Below are 19,373 nucleotides of genomic sequence, written 5' to 3'. Positions count from 1 at the left end.
TGAAAGGATACAGGTTAAAATCAGCAAAGGGAAAAGGCACATGGGGTGGAATCCAGGAAAAATTGGGTAGAAACTTCCAGTTTTCCTCTCCAGTGGACTCACACGGACGCTGCCTACTTCCCCAGCAAGGATGTGTGACAGCATGTGCAAAGTGTTGTCAATCAGGGAAGCTAACCCAAGACTTGGTGTTTAGGGTTTTTATTGGGGTCGGTCACATAGACATGCAGCACCCACTGACCTCAGCTCCTCAGACACTGCTCCTCAGAGCTCACGTTGATACAAAATTACCCAAGGCTTCAGCAATAGAAAAACATTCTCAATAGGCTTGATATTCCAAGGGCCCAGTGGTTATCTTCTTGGAGTGGGTCAAGGGCCAGTCCTCCCGAAGACAGGCCTTTCTTTGGAATGTGTAGTGTCTGAGCCACCAGGGCCTGCTGATTTACCACTTTACGGCGTGACTGAGAAAGAAGGTATTTTCTTTTCTTTTTTTCTTTTTTTTTTTTTTTTTTCTGAGCTGGAGTTTTGCTCATTGCCCAGACTGGAGTGCAATGGTGCGATCTCGGCTCACCGCAACCTCCGCCTCCCAGGTTCAAGCGATTCTCCTGCCTCAGCCTCCTGAGTAGCTGGGATTACAGGCATGCGTCACCACGCCCGGCTTATTTTGTATTTTTAGTAGAGATGGGGTTTCACCACGTTGGCCAGGCTGGTCTCAAACTCCCGATCTCAGGTGATCCGCCTGCCTCGGCCTCCCAAAGTGTTGGGATTATAGGGGTGAGCCACTGTGCCTGGCCCAAAAGAAGGTATTTTCAAGAGCCATTATGGTGGCATATCATTTATGAACAGTGGATGTGCAGGATATATCTGTACTTTGTCTGGAAGCTGGAGTCATTGGACCATTCATGCTGTATAGAAAGAACTAAGAACACTGGCTTGGGAGTCAGGATACCCAAGATTCCTGTCATAACCGTGGTGTGTGACCTTGACCAAGCCTCATTTGTATCTCCTGTGAAATGAAAGGGTTATTAGACCTTTAATATCTAAGGTTCTTTCTGGCTACAAAAGTCTTTTTCTACAAAGTCTTGTGTTATGGTTTGAATGTGTCCCTCAAAGTTCATATGTTGACCTCCAATGCAGCAGTATTGGGAGCTTTAAGAAGTGTTTAAGTCACAAGGGCTCCACCCTCACGAATGAATTAATGCCATTATCTTGGGAGTGGGTTTGTTATCTTGGGGCTGGGCTCCTTGTAAAAGGCTGGGTTTGGCCACCTCTTGCACTGTCTCTCTCTTTACCCTTCTGCCATGGGATGACATGGCATGAAGGCCCTCGCCAGATACTGGCACCCAGATCTTGTACTTCCTAGACTCTAGAGCTGCGATAAAATAAATTTATCTTCTTTGCAGATTGCCTAGTCTATGGTTTTCTGTTATACAGCACAAAACAGACCAAGATACCTTGCTAACTTGCTATATGCCATAATACCTGCTTCCTCTGTACCAGATTTCTTACCTCTTTTTCAAAATTTAGAATAGCAGAACCAGGTGACTGATCAGGATTTCTATAACAGGCAGTTGTTAAACAGGCTTTTCTGAGGTAAGAAAGTTAGGACTCTGTGCTGGTTTATATCATGTTGCTGCTTTCTATTCTGTCTCTATGTGAAGAGCAAATGAACAGAATGGCTCTGAGGGTCTCACTATTTCCTGACTCTGTCATTCACTCTTTGTATGCTCAATTTCTTTTCTTTCTTTTTTTTTTTTTTGAGACAGAGTCACGCTCTGTGGCCCAGGCTAGAGTGCAGTGGCGCGCAATGTTGGCTCACTGCAAGCTCCGCTTCCTGGGTTCACACCATTCTCCTGCCTCAGCCTCCCGAGTAGCTGGGACTACAGACGCCCGCCACCACGCCCGGCTAATTTTTTGTATTTTTAGTAGAGACGGGGTTTCACCATGTTAGCCAGGATGGTCTCGATCTCCTGACCTCGTGATCCACCCGCCTCGGCCTCCCAAAGTGCTAGGATTACAGGCGTGAGCCACCACGCCCGGCCTCTCCATTTCTTGACCTCTGTTTGAAAAACATCAGGATAATGTTGACTTCCTACCTCTTTTTTTTTTTTTTTTTGGAGACAGAGTCTCACTCTGTCACCCAGATTGGAGTGCAGTGGTGGGATCTCTGCTCACTGCAACCTCCGCTTCCCAGACTCATGCAGTTCTCACGCCTCAGCCTCCCGAGTAGCTGGGGCTACAAGTGTGTGCCACTACAACCTGCTAATTTTTGTATTTTCTTTTTAGCAGAGATGGGTTTCGCCATGTTGGCCAGGCTGGTCTTGAACTCCTGGCCTCAAGTGATCCACCCACCTTGGCCTCCCAAAGTGCTGGGATTACAGGTGTGAGCCACTGCACCTGGCCCCTACCTCTTTCAATGCAATACAATGTTGAAAAAATGAGACAATATCTATAAAGTTTCTTGAGAGTAATTGGCCCATAAGTGCACATGCTCAGCCTTGTTATAATTGCAGGGGATGCTAGGTTTTGAGAACTTACCTAAACCTAATTGCATTATGTGGATGCCTGAGCCAAGAAGAATCCTCAGGCCTGGCTAGAATTAGTAGGTCTGCTTTTGGGCAAGACTGAAGGTAAATCTTCCTAGGAGATGAGGGAGAGAAGGGTAGAGATGGAGAGAGGTGAAGACAGAGGAGTTGGGAGATGCAATAAGTGAAGCTCATTTCCTGAATTCCTGTAAGGCAGGATAGATCAGCATCTGATCCAGTGGAAGCAACCTCCAGGCAAGAATATTTATTAAACTCTCTCCTGGTTAGTCTGAGACCAGCCTGGCCAACATGGCAAAACCCTGTCTATACTAAAAATAATACAAAAATAATACAAAAATACTAATAATACCCAGGTGTAGGGGTGAGCGACTGTAATCTCAGCTACTCAGGAAGCTAAGGCAGAAGAATTGCTTGAACCCGGAAGGCGGAGGTTGCAGTGAGCCGAGATTGCTCCACTGCACTCCAGCCTGGGCAACAGACAAACAAACAAACAAACAAACAAACAAAACCCTCTCCTGGCTGATATTGAAGGCTTAATTACTTTTTTTCTCTTTTTGATCTGTATTTACACAAAGACTAGCTGGTTTACAGTTATCTAATCACTAAAATAATCCTTCCTGTCCTAGTGAAAAATTCCCAATTGGATAGTTGTTTTCATAATACAATGTCAATGAAATGTGGGTCAGTCCAGAAGATAATCTCATCTATAAAATAAGCACTGAAGTGTTGCAAGTACCAAATGAGTTAATGTGTAAAAAGGGCACAGATAGCTGACTGTGGATGGTTTTGATGGTGCAGGACCTTGAAGGCTGGGGACTTGAGGCATAAATCATCTCCAGGCATCTGAGGACTCAAGGGGAGGCCGTACACACTAGGAGCAAACATCTCACATTGTTGTTTTGTCAGATAATCACCTAGAATGGGAATTACCATGACTCTGGGGGCCTGAAGAGTATGTTGGTCCTCCTGGCACATCTTCAGGGAGCACAATCAACCCACTATGGAGTGAGTGCCTCGGTCACCCCAAGAGGTCACACTTTTTCCAGAGACACCTTCCTATTTTCATTGCCGCTGTTCTCATTCCAGTGGTCCTTGCAACATCCAGGCTCCTGATCGAGAATGTTAGGTCTGCAAATAAAGGGACTTAGCATTTACCAGACTAAAACACTGAGATAATGGACTACTCAATCTCAGGACAGCACACGGGGGAAAACCAAAAGTGAATGAAACCAAACTGCCCAGCCTCCCCAGTAGCTGGGACTACATTCATGCAACACCACATTGGACTAATTTTTTTTTTTTTTGAGACGAAGACTCGCTCTGTCGCCCGGGCTCTAGTGCGGTGACATGATCTTGGCTCACCACAACCTCCGCCTCCCAGGTTCAAGTGATTCTCCTGCCTCAGCCTCCCGAGTAGCTAGGATTACAGGTGCCCAGCACCATGCCCGGCTACTTTTTGTTTTTTTAATAGAGACGGGGTTTCACGATGTTGGCCAGGCTGGTCCTGAACTCCGGACCTCAGGTGATCCACCTGCCTCAGCCTCCCAAAGTGCTGGGATTACAGGCCTGAGCCACCTCCGTGCCTGGCCTTTTTTTTTTTTTTTTTGAGATGGAGTTTTGCTCTTGTTGTCCAGGCTGGAGTGCAATGGCACGATCTCGGCTCACTGCAATCTCTGCCTTCCAGGTTCAAGTGATTCTCCTGCCTCAGTCTCCCGAGTAGCTGGGATTACAGTTGCCTGCCACCACGACTGGCTACTTTTTGTATTTTTAGTAGAGATGGAGTTTCACCAAGTTGGCCAGGCTGGTCTCTAACAATGACCTCAGGTGATCCACCAGCCTCGGCCTCCCAAACTGCTGGGATTACAGGCCTGAGCCACCTCTGTGCCCAGCTTTCTTTTTTTTTTTTGAGACGGAGTCTTGCTCTGTCACCCAGGCTGGAGTGCAGCGGCGCAGTCTTGGCTCACTGCAACCTCCGCCCTCCAGGTTCAAGCAATTCTCCTGCCTCAGCCTCCCAGGACTACAGGCGCCTGCCACCATACCTGGCTAATTTTTGTGTTTTTAGTAGAGATGGGGTTTCACTATGAGCCACCGTGCCTGGCCTCTTTTTTAAAAGATGAGATCTCACTATGTTGCCCAGGCTGGTCTTAAATTTCTGGTTTCAAGTGATCCTCCCCCTTCAGCCTTCTGAGTAGTATCATTTTAGAATCTGTAAATATCTGTTGGTCTTTTGTTTGATGCTTTAAATCTGCAAGGGCTGCATAGGACCATATTGCTTCCACACCAGGGAGGTATTGCTTGGCATACTATAGACCGCCATTGCCTAAACCATGAATTTCATCAGTGTGTTCTATAAGTTCAATTTTGTTTCTTTCCATAGCTGACTGGAATAGACTCCCATTCCTTACAGCAGTAAGGTACAAAAATTTTCTCTAAAGCAGAATCAATTAGAATCCAGAAACTGTTGTCTTCTCCAGTGTACATATCCTTTAAAATCTTCTACAAAGATGCCAGCAAGGTGCTTAAGAGCATAAGAGTTTCTATATTTAGGATGAAAGAGAGAGAATGAGTAAGAGAGAGAAAGAGAAGGAACCAACCTTAAAAAAATTTTGCTTTGTTTTAAAGAGCCAACAATTTTGATTACCCATTAGATGAAATTCCTGGACCAGGAACTTTCCAAGTACCATCTCCTTTTATTTTTTTATTTTTTATTTTTTATTTTTTGAGATAGAGTCTGGCTCTGTCACCCAGGCTGGAGTGCAGTGGCGCGATCTCGGCTCACTGCAACTTCCACCTTCTGGGTTCAAGCAATTCTCCTGCCTCAGCCTCCTGAGTAGCTGGGATTACAGGCGTGTGCCACCATGCCCAGCTAATTTTTGTATTTTTAGTAAAGACGAGGTTTTGCTATGTTGGCCAGGCTGGTCTCGAACCCCTGACCTTGTGATCTGCCCACCTCGACCTCCCAAAGTGTTGGGATTACAGGCGTGAGCCACCGCGCCTGGCCTTCTGCTGATAAACATTTGAGTTACGCCAAAGCAGGCCAATTGGTTGAGCTGAGAAGTTTGAGACCAGCCTAAACAACATGGTGAAATCCTGTCTCTACAAAAATACAAAAATTAGCTGGGCATGGTGCCATGTGCCTGTAGTCACAACTACTTGGGAGGCTGAGATGGGATGTTAGCATGATTTTTTTCCAAGTCTTTTTGTGGACACATGTCTTTATTTATCTTGGATAAATTTCCAGTAGTAGAACCACTGGTTCATATGATAAATGTACATTTAATGTTTTTTTCAGAGGTAGAGTCTTGCTCTGTTGCCCAGGCTGGAGTGCAGTGGCGTGATCATGGCTCACTGCAGCCTCAAACTCGTGAACTCAAGCAATCCTCCCGTCTCAGTCCCCCAAGTAGCTGAGACTACAGGTGTGTGCCACCACATCTAGCTAATTATTTTTATTCTTATTTTAAGTAGAGACAGTGTCTCACTTTGTTGGCCAGGCTGGAACTCCTGGCTTCAAGTGATCCTCCTACCCTGGCCTCCCAAAATGCTGGGATTACAGGTGTGAGTCACTGCACGCAACCTACTCCTGTACTTCAGAAAAATAGATGAATTTGTTTATTTAAAGGTTGTGACCTGGCATAACTACTCTTCAGCTACATCTCAGCTTAAATGTCCAGTTTTACTTATATTGTAATTTAAGACATTTGGAATTAGAAACATTTGATGTGTCTTCATCTTAAAGAATTTTGACAACTTTTTTTATATTGCTATGATTTATTCATATTTGTTGGGTATTTCTATATGTCATCATTTATGACTATTGTATAATGTTCCATTATGTGAATATATCCCAGTTTATTCATCCAGTTTTTTTTTTTTTTTTTTTTGAGATGGCGTCTCACTGTTTCTCAGACTGGAGTGCAGTGGCATGATCTCGGCTCACTGCAACCTCCACTTCCTAGGTTCAAGCGATTCTCCTGCCTCAGCCTCCCAAGTAGCTGGGATTACAGGTGACTGCCACCATGCCCGGCTAATTTTTGTATTTTTAGTAGATACGAGGTTCACGGTGTTGGCCAGGCTGCTCTCGAACTCCTAACCTCAAGTGATCCATCTGCCTTGGCCTCCCAAAGTGCTGGGATTACAGACATGAGCCACCACGCCCGGCCCATCTAGTATTTCTTGAAAGGCATTTGCTTTCTTAGCATGTTTTTGCCATTGTGGAGAGTACTGCTATGTACATTATCATATGTGGTTTTTTTTGGTGTACATTCTTTTGGGTCTATTCCTAATAGTGGATGGAATGCACTTTAGGGTATATATTTAGTTTTAGTAGATATTGTCAAATGTTTTTCCAAAGTGGTTGTATCAATTTACACACCCACTGTTAAGCTTAAAGATATTCCATGGATCTACCTCTTCATTAACACTTGGAATTGTCAGTGTATTGTTTTAATTTTGCCAGTAAAACGGGCATAAAATGATACATTAGAGTCTTGATTGTTATTTTCCTGATAATCAGTAAAATTGAATATCCCTTCATATTTTTCCTGGCCATATGTGTTTCCTATTCTGTGAAATGCCTATTCATGTTGTTAGCCCACTTTTCAATTGGGCTATTTGTCTTTTTCTTATTAATTGTAGGAGTTCCTTATACATTATTATTACTTTTTTTGAGACAGAGCACCCAGGCTGGAGTGCCATGGCAGAATCTCAGCTCACTGCAACCTCTGCCTCCCAGGTTCAAGCGATTCTCCTGCCTCAGCCTCCTGAGTAGCTGGGATTACAGGCGTGCGTCACCACGCCCAGCTAATTTTTGTATTTTTAGTAGAGACGGGGTTTCACCATGTTGACCAGGCTGGTCCTGAACTCCTGACCTCAGGTGACCCTCCTGCCTCTGCCATCCAAAGTGCTGGGATTACAGGCATGAGCCATGGTGCCGGCCCCTTATATATTATTAATACTAATCCTTTTTCAGTTATGCCTATTGAAAGTAGTTCTCCCAGTTTATAATGTCACACTTTCTTTAAGATGTATTTCAATGAATGAAAGTGATGGTTTTAATATATTAAATTTGTCAATCTTTTATAGTTTGTACTTTTGGGTCTTGTTTAAGAAATCCTTGACTTCAGTATAGTATCAGGATACCAAATCAATGTACAAAAATCAGTAGCAGTTTTATATACCAACAATATTTAAGCTGAGAGCCAAATCAAGAAGCAATCCCAGCTGGGTGCAGTGGCTCAAGCCTGTAATCCCAGCACTTTGGGAGGCTGAGGTGGGCGGATCACTGGAGGTCAGGAGTTGGACACCAGCCTGACCAACATGGTGAAACCACATCTCTACTAAAAATACAAAAATTAGCTGGGCATGGTGGCACATGTCTATAATCCCAGCTACTCAGGAGGCCGAGGCAGGAGAATCACTTGAACCTGGGAGGCGGAGGTTGCAGTGAGCTGAGATTGTGCCATTGCACTCCAGCCTGGGACACATAAGCAAAACTCTGTCTCAAAAAAAAAAAAAAAAAAGGAAAAAAAGAAGGAATACCATTTACAACACACACACACACACACACACACACACACCCACATACACACAATACCTAGGAATACATCTAACCAAGGAGGTGAAAGATCTTTACAGGGAGAACTATAAAACACTGCTAAAACAAATAATAGATGACACAAACAAATGAAAAAACATTCCATGCTCATGGATTGGAAGAATCAATATCATTAACATGGCCATACTGCTCAAAGCAATCTATAGATTCGATTCCTATCAAACTACCAATAGCATTTTTCACAGAATTAGAAAAAAACAATGATATGGAACAAAAAAAGAGGCTGAATAGCCAAAGCAATCCTAAACAAAAAGAACAAAGCTGGAGGCATCACATTACCCAAGTTCAAACTATACTACAAGGCAACAGTAACCAAAACAGCATGGTACTGGTACAAAAACAGACACATCGACAAATGGAACAGAATAGCAAGCCCAGAAATATAGCTGCACACCTACAGCCATCTGATCTTTGACAAAGTAGACAAAAACAAGCAATAGGGAAAGAACTCCATATTAAATAAATGGTGCTGGGATAGCTTGCTAGCCATATGCAGAAGAAAAAGACTAGACCCCTACCTATCACCGTATACAAAAATTTACTCAAGATGGATTAAGATGTAAATGTAAGACTCCAAACTATAAGAATCCTAGAAGTTAAATAGCTAATGTATGCAGGGCTTAATACCTAGGTGATAGGTTGATAGGTGCAGCAAACCACCATGGCACATGTTTACCTATGTAAGAAACCTTTGCATCCTGCACATGTGTGTTAGTCCATTTTCATGCTGCTGATAAAAGCATACCTGAGACTGGGCACTTTACAAAAGAGGTTTATGATGGACTTACAGTTCCATATGGCTGGGGAAGCCTCACAATCATGGCAGAAAGCAAGGAGGAGCAAGTTGCATTTACTTAGATAGCACCAGGCAAAGAGAGAGCTTGTGCAGGGAGACTCCAGTTTTTAAAACCAACAGATCTCATGGGACTTATTCACTATCACGAGAACAGCATGGGAAAAACCTGCCCTCATGATTCAATTACTTCCCACCAGGTCCCTCCCACAACACATGGGAACTCAAGATGAGATTTGGGTGGGGACACAGTCAAACCATATCAACAGGTATCCCGGAACTTAAAAAAAAAAAAAAAAGAGGGGTGGGAGAGTGGGGAGGGAAAGCATTAAGAGATATACCTAAGGTAAATGACGAGTTAATGGGTGCAGCACACCAACATGGCACATGTATACATATGTAACAAACCTGCAGGTTGTGCACATGTACCCTAGAACTTAAAGTATAATAATTAAAAAAAAAAGAGGAAAAAAAAAAGAATCCTGGAAGAAAAGCTTGGAAACACCATTCTGGACATCAGCCTTGGGAAATAATTTATGACTAAGTTCTCAAAAGCAATTGCAACAAAACCAAAAATAGACAAGTTGGCCAAATTAAACTAAATAGTTTCTGCACAGCAAAAGAAACTACCAATAGAGTAAATAAACCACCTACAGAATGGGAGAAAGTATTCACAACTATGCATCTGACAAATTTCTAATATCCAGAGTCTATAAGAAACCTAAACAATTGAATAAGCAAAAACCAAATAACCCCATTAGGCTGGGTGCCGTGGCTCATGCCTGTAATCCCAGCACTTTGGGAGGCCGAGGCAGGCGGATCACGAGGTCAGGAGATCGAGACCATCCTGGCTAATAAGGTGAAACCCCATCTCTACCATAAATACAAAAAGAAATTAGCCGGGCATGGTGGCGGGCGCCTGTAGTCCCGGCTACTCGGGAGGCTGAGGCAGGAGAACGGCGTGAACCCGGGAGGCGGAGATTGCAATGAGCCGAGATCGCGCCACTGCACTCCAGCCTGGGCGACAGAGTGAGACTCCGTCTCAAACAAAACAAAACAAAACAAAACAAAACAAAACAAAACAAAACAAAACCCCAAAACCAAATAACCCCATTAAAAAGTGGGCAAAGACATGAACAAACACTTCTCAAAGGAAGACTTACAAATGGCCAACAAACATATGAGAAAATGCTCCACATCACTAACCATCAGTGAAATGTAAATTAAAACCACAGAGATACCATCTCACACAAGTTAGAATGGCTATTATTAAAAAGTCAAAAACTAGCAGATACTGGTGAGGCTGCAGAGAAAAGAGAACGCTTATGCACTGTTGGTGGAAATGTAAATTAGTTCATCCACTGTGGAAAGCAGTTTGGAGATTTTTCAAAGAACTTAAGACAGAACTACAAATCGACCCAGCAATTCCATTACTGGATATATATCCAAAAGAAAACAAATCTTTCTACTAAAAAGACATGCACTCACATGTTCATCACAACGCTATTCACAGTAATAGCAAAGACATGGAATCAACCTAGGTGTTCATCTACACTGGATTGGGTAAAAAAAAAAAAAAGTGGTGCTTATACACCATGGAATACTATGCAGCCATAAAAAGGAATGAAATCATGTCCTTTGTACAGCATCATGGATGCAGCTGGAGGCAGTTATCCTAAGCAAATTAATGGAGAAAGAGAAAACCAAATACTACGTGTTCTCACTTACGAGTGGGAGCTAAACATTGGGTACTCATGGACATAAAGATGGCAAGAATAGACACTGGGAACCATTAAAGAGGGAAGGGAAGGAGGGGGGCAAGGGTTGAAAAACTAACTATTGGGTATTATGCTTAGTACCTGGGTGATGAGGTCATTCATAACCCAAACCTCAGCATTACCCAATATACCCAGGTAACAAACCTGCATATGTATTTTCTGAATGTAAAAGTCTGAAAAAATAAAAAAGAGATTCTTTAATTTCCCACATTCTAAAAGATATTCACCTGTATTTAATACTTAGAGTGTTCAAGTTTGTTTTTGATACTTAAATTTTGACTTCATCTGGAGTTTATTTTTATATATATTTGTAGTTATTCATATGAAAGTAGTCGTTCATATGAAAAGAGATGAAACACCATATATGAATATATGATATATATACCATTTATATATGGTTCTTTTTATTTTATTAAATAGTTCTTTTTGTTTTATTAAATAGTCTCTTTTCTTCCTATTCATGTGTCAAAATAATTACTGAAATGTGGAAATAGCAGAAAGAGATTACTGGGTATCCTTCAAGTGAGGTTCTGGGCTTGACTCTGTAATGGTTGAGCAATTTACAACTCTGTAGGAACAGAGATTAACTTAAATATTTTTTTTCTACTAGAGATGTAAATCATTTCTATCCAATAGAACAAATACTCTTAGAGAAATAGGAACTGGTTTTCCATAAACCTGAAACTACCTAAAATTTCTTTTTTTACATTGCCTCTATACACATCTAACTCATTAAATGTTCTTTGGGCTAATTTTAGCATCTGACAGATTTCCTCATTAATCAATGAATTGAATAAAATCTTTTGCATGAAATAATTTTTTTAATCCATTAGAAAATTATACTTTAACAAATCTAATATGCAACCTCTCTCATATACCGAAGTTTCAAACGTGCTTGGGTCTGTTTCTGAGCTCTATTTTCTATTTTAGTGGTCAATTAGTCTATTTTTGATCATACTGTTATAATTGCTACAGCTTCACAATAAGTCCTCACATTTGGTAGGGCAAGTCTCCCCCTGCCTTTTCTTATTCAGAAATATTCTGGCTATTCTAAAATCTTTACTTTTCCATATACATTTAAAAATCAGCTAGTTAAGTTCAATGAAAAATCCCGTTGGGATTTTGTTTGGAATTTCATTGAATCTGTGTATCAGTTTTGGGAAAATTAATATCTTTATGATAGTCTTCCTATCAGCAAATATATATACATCTAATTTGGATCTTTTTTCATGTCTCTTAATAAGTTTTTATTTTTCCCTGTAGTGTTCTTGTACATCTTTCATTAGAATGAATCTTAGGTACTTGATTTTCTCTAATTCTATTTTAAATGGTGTATTTCTTCAAATTACATTTTCCAGTTTGTTGTTGGATATAGAAAAGAAATACAATTTTTGCATTAAAATCTTATACGTAATCACCTGGCAAACCCTCCGGTTACTACTTATTTTAATGTAGTATGATTTATCAATATTTATGGTTTAAAAAAACTTATTTAAAAAATATTTTCTTCATTAAAGATCATGAGAATGTTTTTCTGTATTATCTTCTGGAAGTTTTGTTGTTGCTATGGTCTCAATATTTGTTCCCAGTCCCCTCTAGCCCCCATCTGTGTGTTGAAACCTAATCCGCAGTGTGATACAGTGTGACAGTATTAAGATGTGGGGCATTTGAGAGGTCATAAGGTCGTGGGATTAGTGCCTATGTTGGTCTGTTTTGTGTTGCTATAACAGAATGCCATAGACTGGGTAATTTATGATGAACACAAGTTTATTTGGCTCACAGTCCCCAAGGCTGAGAAGTCTAAGACCATGGCACCAGCATATAGCATGGGCCTTTGCACTGCGTCATCCCATGCTGGAAGGACAAGAGAGGGTGTGAGCAAGAAAGCAAGAGAGGGCTAGCCTTGCTTTCATAACAAACTCACTCCCTTGATAATGACATTAATCCATTCATGAGTGCAGAGCCCTCATGACCTAATCACTTCTTATTAGGCCCCACCTCCCAATACTTGTTACATTGGGGATTAACTTTCCAACCCTTAAACTTAGGGAACACATTCAAATTATTGCAGTGCCCTTATAAAAGAGGCTCCGGAGGCTGGCCCTTAGGAATGGGGCAGGGGAGGTGTGGGCCTCAAAATGTAATTAAAAGGCTTTGATCACAAAGTCTTCAGCCTCAACTCCTATCCTATTTACTACTGGAAGATAGTATAGTTATATGTTTGTTTGTTTGTTTGTTTGGATATGGAGTCTTGCTCTGTCGCCAGGCTGGAGTGCAGTGGCGCGATCTCGGCTCACTGCAACCTCCACCTCCTGGGTTCAAGCGATTCTCCTGCTTCAGCCTCCCGAGTAGCTGGGACTACAGGCGTGCACCAGCATGCCCAGCTAATTTTTGTATTTTTAGTAGAGACAGGTTTCACCATGTTGGCCAGGATAGTCTTGATCTCTAGACCTCATGATCCACCCGTCTTGGCCTTCCAAAGTGCTGGGATTATAGGTGGGAGCCACTGCGCCCGGCCAGTTATATGTTTTATATAAAATAAGTGTAGAATATAATAACAATAATAACTACCATTTATTGAGGATTTACTATGCATCTGTTCCTGCCAAAGACTTTAAAATTCTCACAAAACCTCTGCGAGGGAATTATTATTAGTTTCATTTAACACATAAGGAAATTTGGGATCCAGAGAAGTTAGGTCAATTACTTCTACAGTGCTACAATAAAAGGTAGAGTTGGGCTTTGAATTCAGGCTGTCTGACTTCAAAGTTCAAGGTCTTAATTACACTGCCTGTAACAATGCACAAAGGGATGTTAAATAAATTGAGTATTTTTTTTCTGAATTTTGTCTCAGTTTTTGGGAAACTCTGGTTACTGTATTGTTGTATGAATGGTCATGGTCATGTCTTTGTTAAGTAAGGAGTATGCTTTTGGAATATTCTTATTTAAGGTAAAGGGAAGTAATCATTGTGCTTAGTACATTGTCTACAATGTGATATTTGAGGTTCCTGACTCTTCTGGGAAAAGCCATGATTCATCCAAGCTGGTTTAATTAGAAAACTGGGAAATCAAAGGGATCCCTGAGCCTAGATGTGACCCCTTCAATGACACTCAGGCTATGAGGCTCAGACCTGAGGCTGAAAGCCTGGCTGGATTGCCGTGTCGCCCCCTCTTTTATTTATTTATTTGTTTGTTTGTTTATTTTATTTTATTTTGAGATGGAATCTCACTCTGTCTCCCAGGCCGGAGTGCGGCGTTGTGATCTTGGCTCACTGCTACCTCTGCCTCCCAAGTTCAAGGGATTCTCCTGCCTCCGGGCCCTGAGTAGCTGGGATTACAGGCATGCACCACCACGCCTGGCTAGTTTTTGTATTTTTATGGTGGAGACGAGATTTCTCCATATTGGCCAGGCTGGTCTCAAACTCCTGACCTCAGGTGATCTGCCCGCCTCACCCTCCCAAAGTGCTGGGATTACAGGCATGAACCACTGTGCCTGGCCTGTTTGTTTATTAAGACAGGGTCTCACTCTGTGGTCCAGGCTGGAGTGCAGTGGCAAGATCATGGCTCACTGCAACCTCAACCTCCCAGACTCATGTGATCCTCCTACCTCAGCCTCTCAAGTAGCTGGAACTATAGGTGTGCATCACTACATTTGATTAATTAATTAATTAATTATTTAAATTTTTTATAGAGACAGCATTTTGTAGAGATGTTGCCAGGGCTGGTCTCAAACTCCTGGGCCAAGAGATCCCCCCGCCTCGGCCTCCCATTGTATTGAAATTACAGGTGTGAGCCACTGCACTTGGCTGTCCCTTCTCTTAAACTGAGTCTGGGGACTTTAGAGAAACCCAGTGGAATATCTAGCCCTTTGTTCTCTTGCTACCTGATTTCCACTCCTCTCCTAAGCTGGCTGGTAAGAAAATAAGGTCTCTTAGAGGATAATTTAAAAAAAAATGGGGCTGGGTGTGGTGGCTCACACCTGTAACCCCAGCACTTTGGGAGGCTGAGGCTGGCAGATCACGAGGTCAGGAGATTGAGACCATCCTGGCTAACACAGTGAAACCCCATCTCTACTAAAAATACAAAAAAATTGGCCAGGTGTGGTGGTGGGTGCCTGTAGTCCCAGCTACTCGGGAGGCTGAGGCAGGAGAGTGGCGTGAACCTGGGAGGCAGAGCTTGCAGTGAGCCGAGATAGCACTACTGCACTACTGCTCTCCAGCCTGGGTGACAGAGCGAGACTCCGTCTCAAAAAAAAAAAAAAAAAAGGTAAATTCGTGACTTTCTTACAGGCATAACTCATTAATTGATGAGGGAACCGGAAAGATTTGACAGCTATTTCAAAGAGGAACTTGAAAGAGTAGAAACAAAAATAGGCGGTGAAATAAATTTACAAATGAATGTAAAACTGGTTTTTCCTACTGACAAAGATTCTTTATTTGACCAAACTTTAGTCAGGTTCTTGAAACTTCTCCTAGGCCTATTTATGCACCTGTAAAATCCAATTTTAGCAAGAACTCTGGTAAGACATTTTAACGAAAACCCCCTACTCTCAATGTCTGATCATCTTTGACCTTTGATCCTCCATCATCCCCCAGGTGATGTCTGATCACCCTGGCCTGTCTTCAGCAAGACTCCTGTTAGGTGGGTTTATGCAGAATCTCCTTTACCCTTGATGTTTCCTCCTAGTAATTTTCCATCCACTGACCTCCACCCTGGTTCTTGGCTGTAAATTTTCACTTGCCCATGCTGTATTTGGAGTTGGGCACAATCTCTCTCCCTCATTACAAAATCCTGTTTTAGTGGTCCCTATACTTATCTCAATGGTTCTGAATAAAGTGTGCCTTACCATGCTTTAACAAGTATCATTGAATAATTTTTTCTTTCTTTCTTTTTTTTTTTTTTTTTTTCTGTTGAGATGGAGTCTTGCTCTGTTACCCAGGCTGGAGTGCAGTGGCACGATCTCGACTCACTGCAAACTTTGCCTCCCGAGTTCAAGTGATTCTTCTGCCTCAGCCCCCTGAGTAGCAGGGATTACAGGCACCCACTATCACACTTAGCTAATTTTTGTTTTTTTAGTAGACAAGGGGTTTGCCAAGTTGACCAGGCTGGTCTTGAGCCCCTGACCTCAGGGGATCTGCCCGCCTCAGCCTCCCAAAGTGTTGGGATTACAGGCATGAGCCACTGTGTCTGGCCATAATTTTTTCTTTCTTTTTTTTTTTTTCTGAGACAGAGTCTCCCTCTGTCACCCAGGCTGAAGTGCAGTGGCACGATCTTGGCTCACTGCAAGCTCCGCCTCCTGGGTTCATGCCATTCTCCTGCCTCAGCCTCCCAAGTAGCTGGGACTACAGGCGCCCGCCACCATGCTGGGCTAATTTTTTGTATTTTTAGTAGAGACGGGGTTTAACCGTGTTAGCCGGGATGGTCTCGATCTCCTGACCTCGTGATCTGGCCCCCTCGGCCTCCCAAAGTGCTGGGGTTACAGGCGTGAGCCACTGCACCCAGCCTGTAATTTTTTCTTTAACACTACAGGTGGAGGGAAATCAGTGTTTCCTCCAAGCAGTCAGAATCTACTTGCATGTCTGTAGACAAGAATTTTTGCTTTGCTATCAGTTATTTACAGAGTTATGAGTAGGCCAGAGATAATAAAACCTAATAGTGAAGCAGCATCATCCATCTGGGGTAATACCTGAAGTACCTCATGCCAAGGAAATCAAGGATGCAGACACACAAAGAGTGAGTTTAAGAGTGGAAGTTTAATAGGCAAAAGAGAAAAGCTCCCTCATGCAGAGGGAGGCGGTTCTGAGTGGATGTCCTGGTTTGTAGTAAGAGGTGGTTGGTTTTATAGATGAGTTTGAAGAGATGGTGTCTAATTTACATAGGGTGCAAAGGATTGGTTGGACCAGGTGTGCCATTTACATTGTGCCCTAATCTTTCACCACCCTAATCCTTTATTATGCAGATAGGTTCTCTACCTGGCCAGCACCATGTTGCCTGCTTCTTTACTGCATACATAGTGACAAAGAAAAGGGAAGATGGAGCCTCCGTGTTGAACATACCTGGCTTCCAGGTATCCCTTTTCTATTTGCACAGCTGCCGGCATTTACCTATGCAGCTTCCAGCTTGCTTACCTGTCTGCAGCTTGATTTTTCAGGCTGCTGTTTGTTAGAAAAGAAATGATTTTGGGGCTGATTTTTATTAAAAGGCAAATCTTGCTGAGGACTCTCTTACCCTCACTATCTGCCTAAATAATTTTTTTCTAGCTCCTGTATCAATAGAATCAGATAAGCCAGGAGAGAGTACTAGAAACAATACATTTTTTTTCCCATTGAAATGTTGATTTAAAAAAACCAAACTCTGGAAAATATTTAAAGAGGTTTATTGTGAGCCAATATGAGTGACCATGGCCCAGGAACAGCCTTAAGAGGTTCTGAGAAAGTTTGCCCAGAATGGTTGGGTTACAGGTTGGTTTTATACATTTGAAGGAGAAAGAAATTATAGCTGAAATTATAAATCAATACATGCAGTGTGTACATTGGTTCAGCACACAGAGGTGAGATATCTTGAAGAGGAGGAACTTACAGATCATAGTTGGATTCAAAGATTTTCTAATTGGCAATTGGTTGAAGAATTAAGCTTTGTCTAAAGACTATAGAAAGAAATGCTTTAGTTAAGATAAAGGGGGTTTAGGGGACTAGGTTCTTTTTATTTTCTTTTCATGACTCAGCAGAAGAGACCAAGGTTCCTGCTATGTAGATGAAGCCTCCAGGTAACAGCCTTCAGAGAGAATAGACAGTAAATGTCTCTTTTTGAATCATGAAAGGTGTCAGACTCTTAGTTAATCTCTTCTATATCCAGGAAAGGCCTGACTATATTAATAAAGATTCTCTAAGATGCAAATTTCCCCTATGAAAGACAGCTTTTCAGGGCCATTTCAAAATATGTCAAATAAATATATTTGGGGGTAACATATTTTCATTTTCTTCAGGGTCTGCTCTCTGTCATGTGATGCTATACCAGAGTCAGGTTGGAATTTGGTATCTTATTGCCACAAAGAGTCTGTTTTGTCAGTCTTATGATCACTGTTTTAATGTTAATGCTTGTCAGTTGTGCCTAAACTCCAAAAGGGAGGAGGGTGTAATGAGGCATATCTAACCTCCTTTCTGGTCATGGCTGGGAGGTCAGGTTTTCAGGTTTCTCTGTGGCTCCCTTGACTCAGACGGAGTCTGTTCAGTTGGTGCAGGGGCTTAGGATTTCATTTTTTGTTTACAGAAAATGCTCAGCTATCTTTTTGGTTCATTCTTCCCATCTGAGTATTAACGACGCCTGACCCTGCTTATCTTCTGAGATCAGATGAGATTGGTGTGTTCAGGATGGTATGGCTGTAGACTTTTTGGTCCATTTCTTTTTTTTTTTTTTTTTTGAGACAGAGTCTCGCTCGTCGCCCAGGCTGGAGTGCAGTGGCGCAATCTCGGCTCACTGCAAGCTCTGCCTCCCAGGTTCATACCATTCTCCTGCCTCAGCCTCCTGAGTAGCTGGGACTACAGGCACCCGCCACTGCGCCTGTCTAATTTTTTGTATTTTTAGTACAGACGGGGTTTCACCGTGTTAGCCAGGATGGTCTCGATCTGCTGACCTCGTGATCCACCTGCCTCGGCCTCCCAAAGTGCTGGGATTACAGGCGTGAGCCACTGCGCCCAGCCTGTCCATTTCTAGGTCTTTCACATTTTTTTCTGACAAATCACATTGTATATCTGATCACTTTATAATTGTTTCTTGCATTACAATTGCTCACTGAAAACTGCTGATGGCATAGGAAGCATACCTTTTTCCTACTCATTTTAAACTGAAAACATCTTAGAATTAGGTGTCTTAACAGAAAGAAATGTGTGTGTGTGTGTGTGTGTGTGTATGTGTGTGTGTTGTGTAGTGGGGCCACTCTGGAAAAACACAGTAGAACACCAAGACCTCCAGGGCAACCGAGTACAAATCCTTTAATCACAAAGGAGCAATTTCATAGGAAAAGATTCAGGTCCCATGTGGTATGAGAATAACCTTGTCTCTATTTGCCACTCATGTGTTCACACTCTGCTGGCAACAGAGTCCCCTACCCTGAGGGAGATGAGGACATTTATTTCCAGATATTGATGACTCTAATCAAGGACAGCGTTTGTTTTTTTAAAAATTTAGTTGGAGGGATCTCACTATGTTGCCCAGGCTGGGCTCAAACTCTTGGACTCAAATGATCCTCCCATCTTAGCCTCCTGAGTAGCTTGGACTACAGATGTGCACCACCATGGCCGGCTCTAAGGACTGTGATTTCATATGGTCTCAAACCCAGGTTCAGGCCAAAAATAGAGATTTTTCTTCATTTCCTAAGGGATATGTTACTATTGTCTAGGAACAATAATAATTTTTAGTAGAGATGGGTTTACCTTGCTCAGCAGGCTGGTCTTGAACTTTTGGCCTCAAGTGATCTGCCGCCTCAGCCCCCCAAAGTGCTAGGATTACGGGCATGGGCCACTGCACTTAACCCTGGAACAGTAATATTTCTATAATAAACACTATTCTGGGTAACTTAAGGGTATGTCCCATGACATACACAGACGACTAGAAAAAGCTTTCTCTTTTCATCTAAATTGATAAGA

At 42.3% G+C, this 19,373-nt stretch overlaps 1 pseudogene, besides 1 other annotated feature; it reads right to left on the bottom strand.

Annotated features, from left to right (window-relative positions):
• Positions 16,354–16,939: an enhancer, noted in NCBI's record as "OCT4-NANOG hESC enhancer chr14:50020527-50021112 (GRCh37/hg19 assembly coordinates)". NCBI's record gives its function as "activates a minimal SCP1, AML or CMV promoter by ChIP-STARR-seq in primed H9 embryonic stem cells {active_cell/tissue: H9 hESC(primed)}" and the evidence as "EXISTENCE:reporter gene assay evidence [ECO:0000049][PMID:30033119]".
• Positions 18,000–18,115, bottom strand: RNA5SP384 (RNA, 5S ribosomal pseudogene 384; annotated as a pseudogene).

Source organism: Homo sapiens, chromosome 14 (genome assembly GCF_000001405.40).
Source record: "Homo sapiens chromosome 14, GRCh38.p14 Primary Assembly".
Taxonomy (NCBI): domain Eukaryota; kingdom Metazoa; phylum Chordata; class Mammalia; order Primates; family Hominidae; genus Homo; species Homo sapiens.
This window is presented reverse-complemented; position numbering and strand designations above follow the sequence as displayed.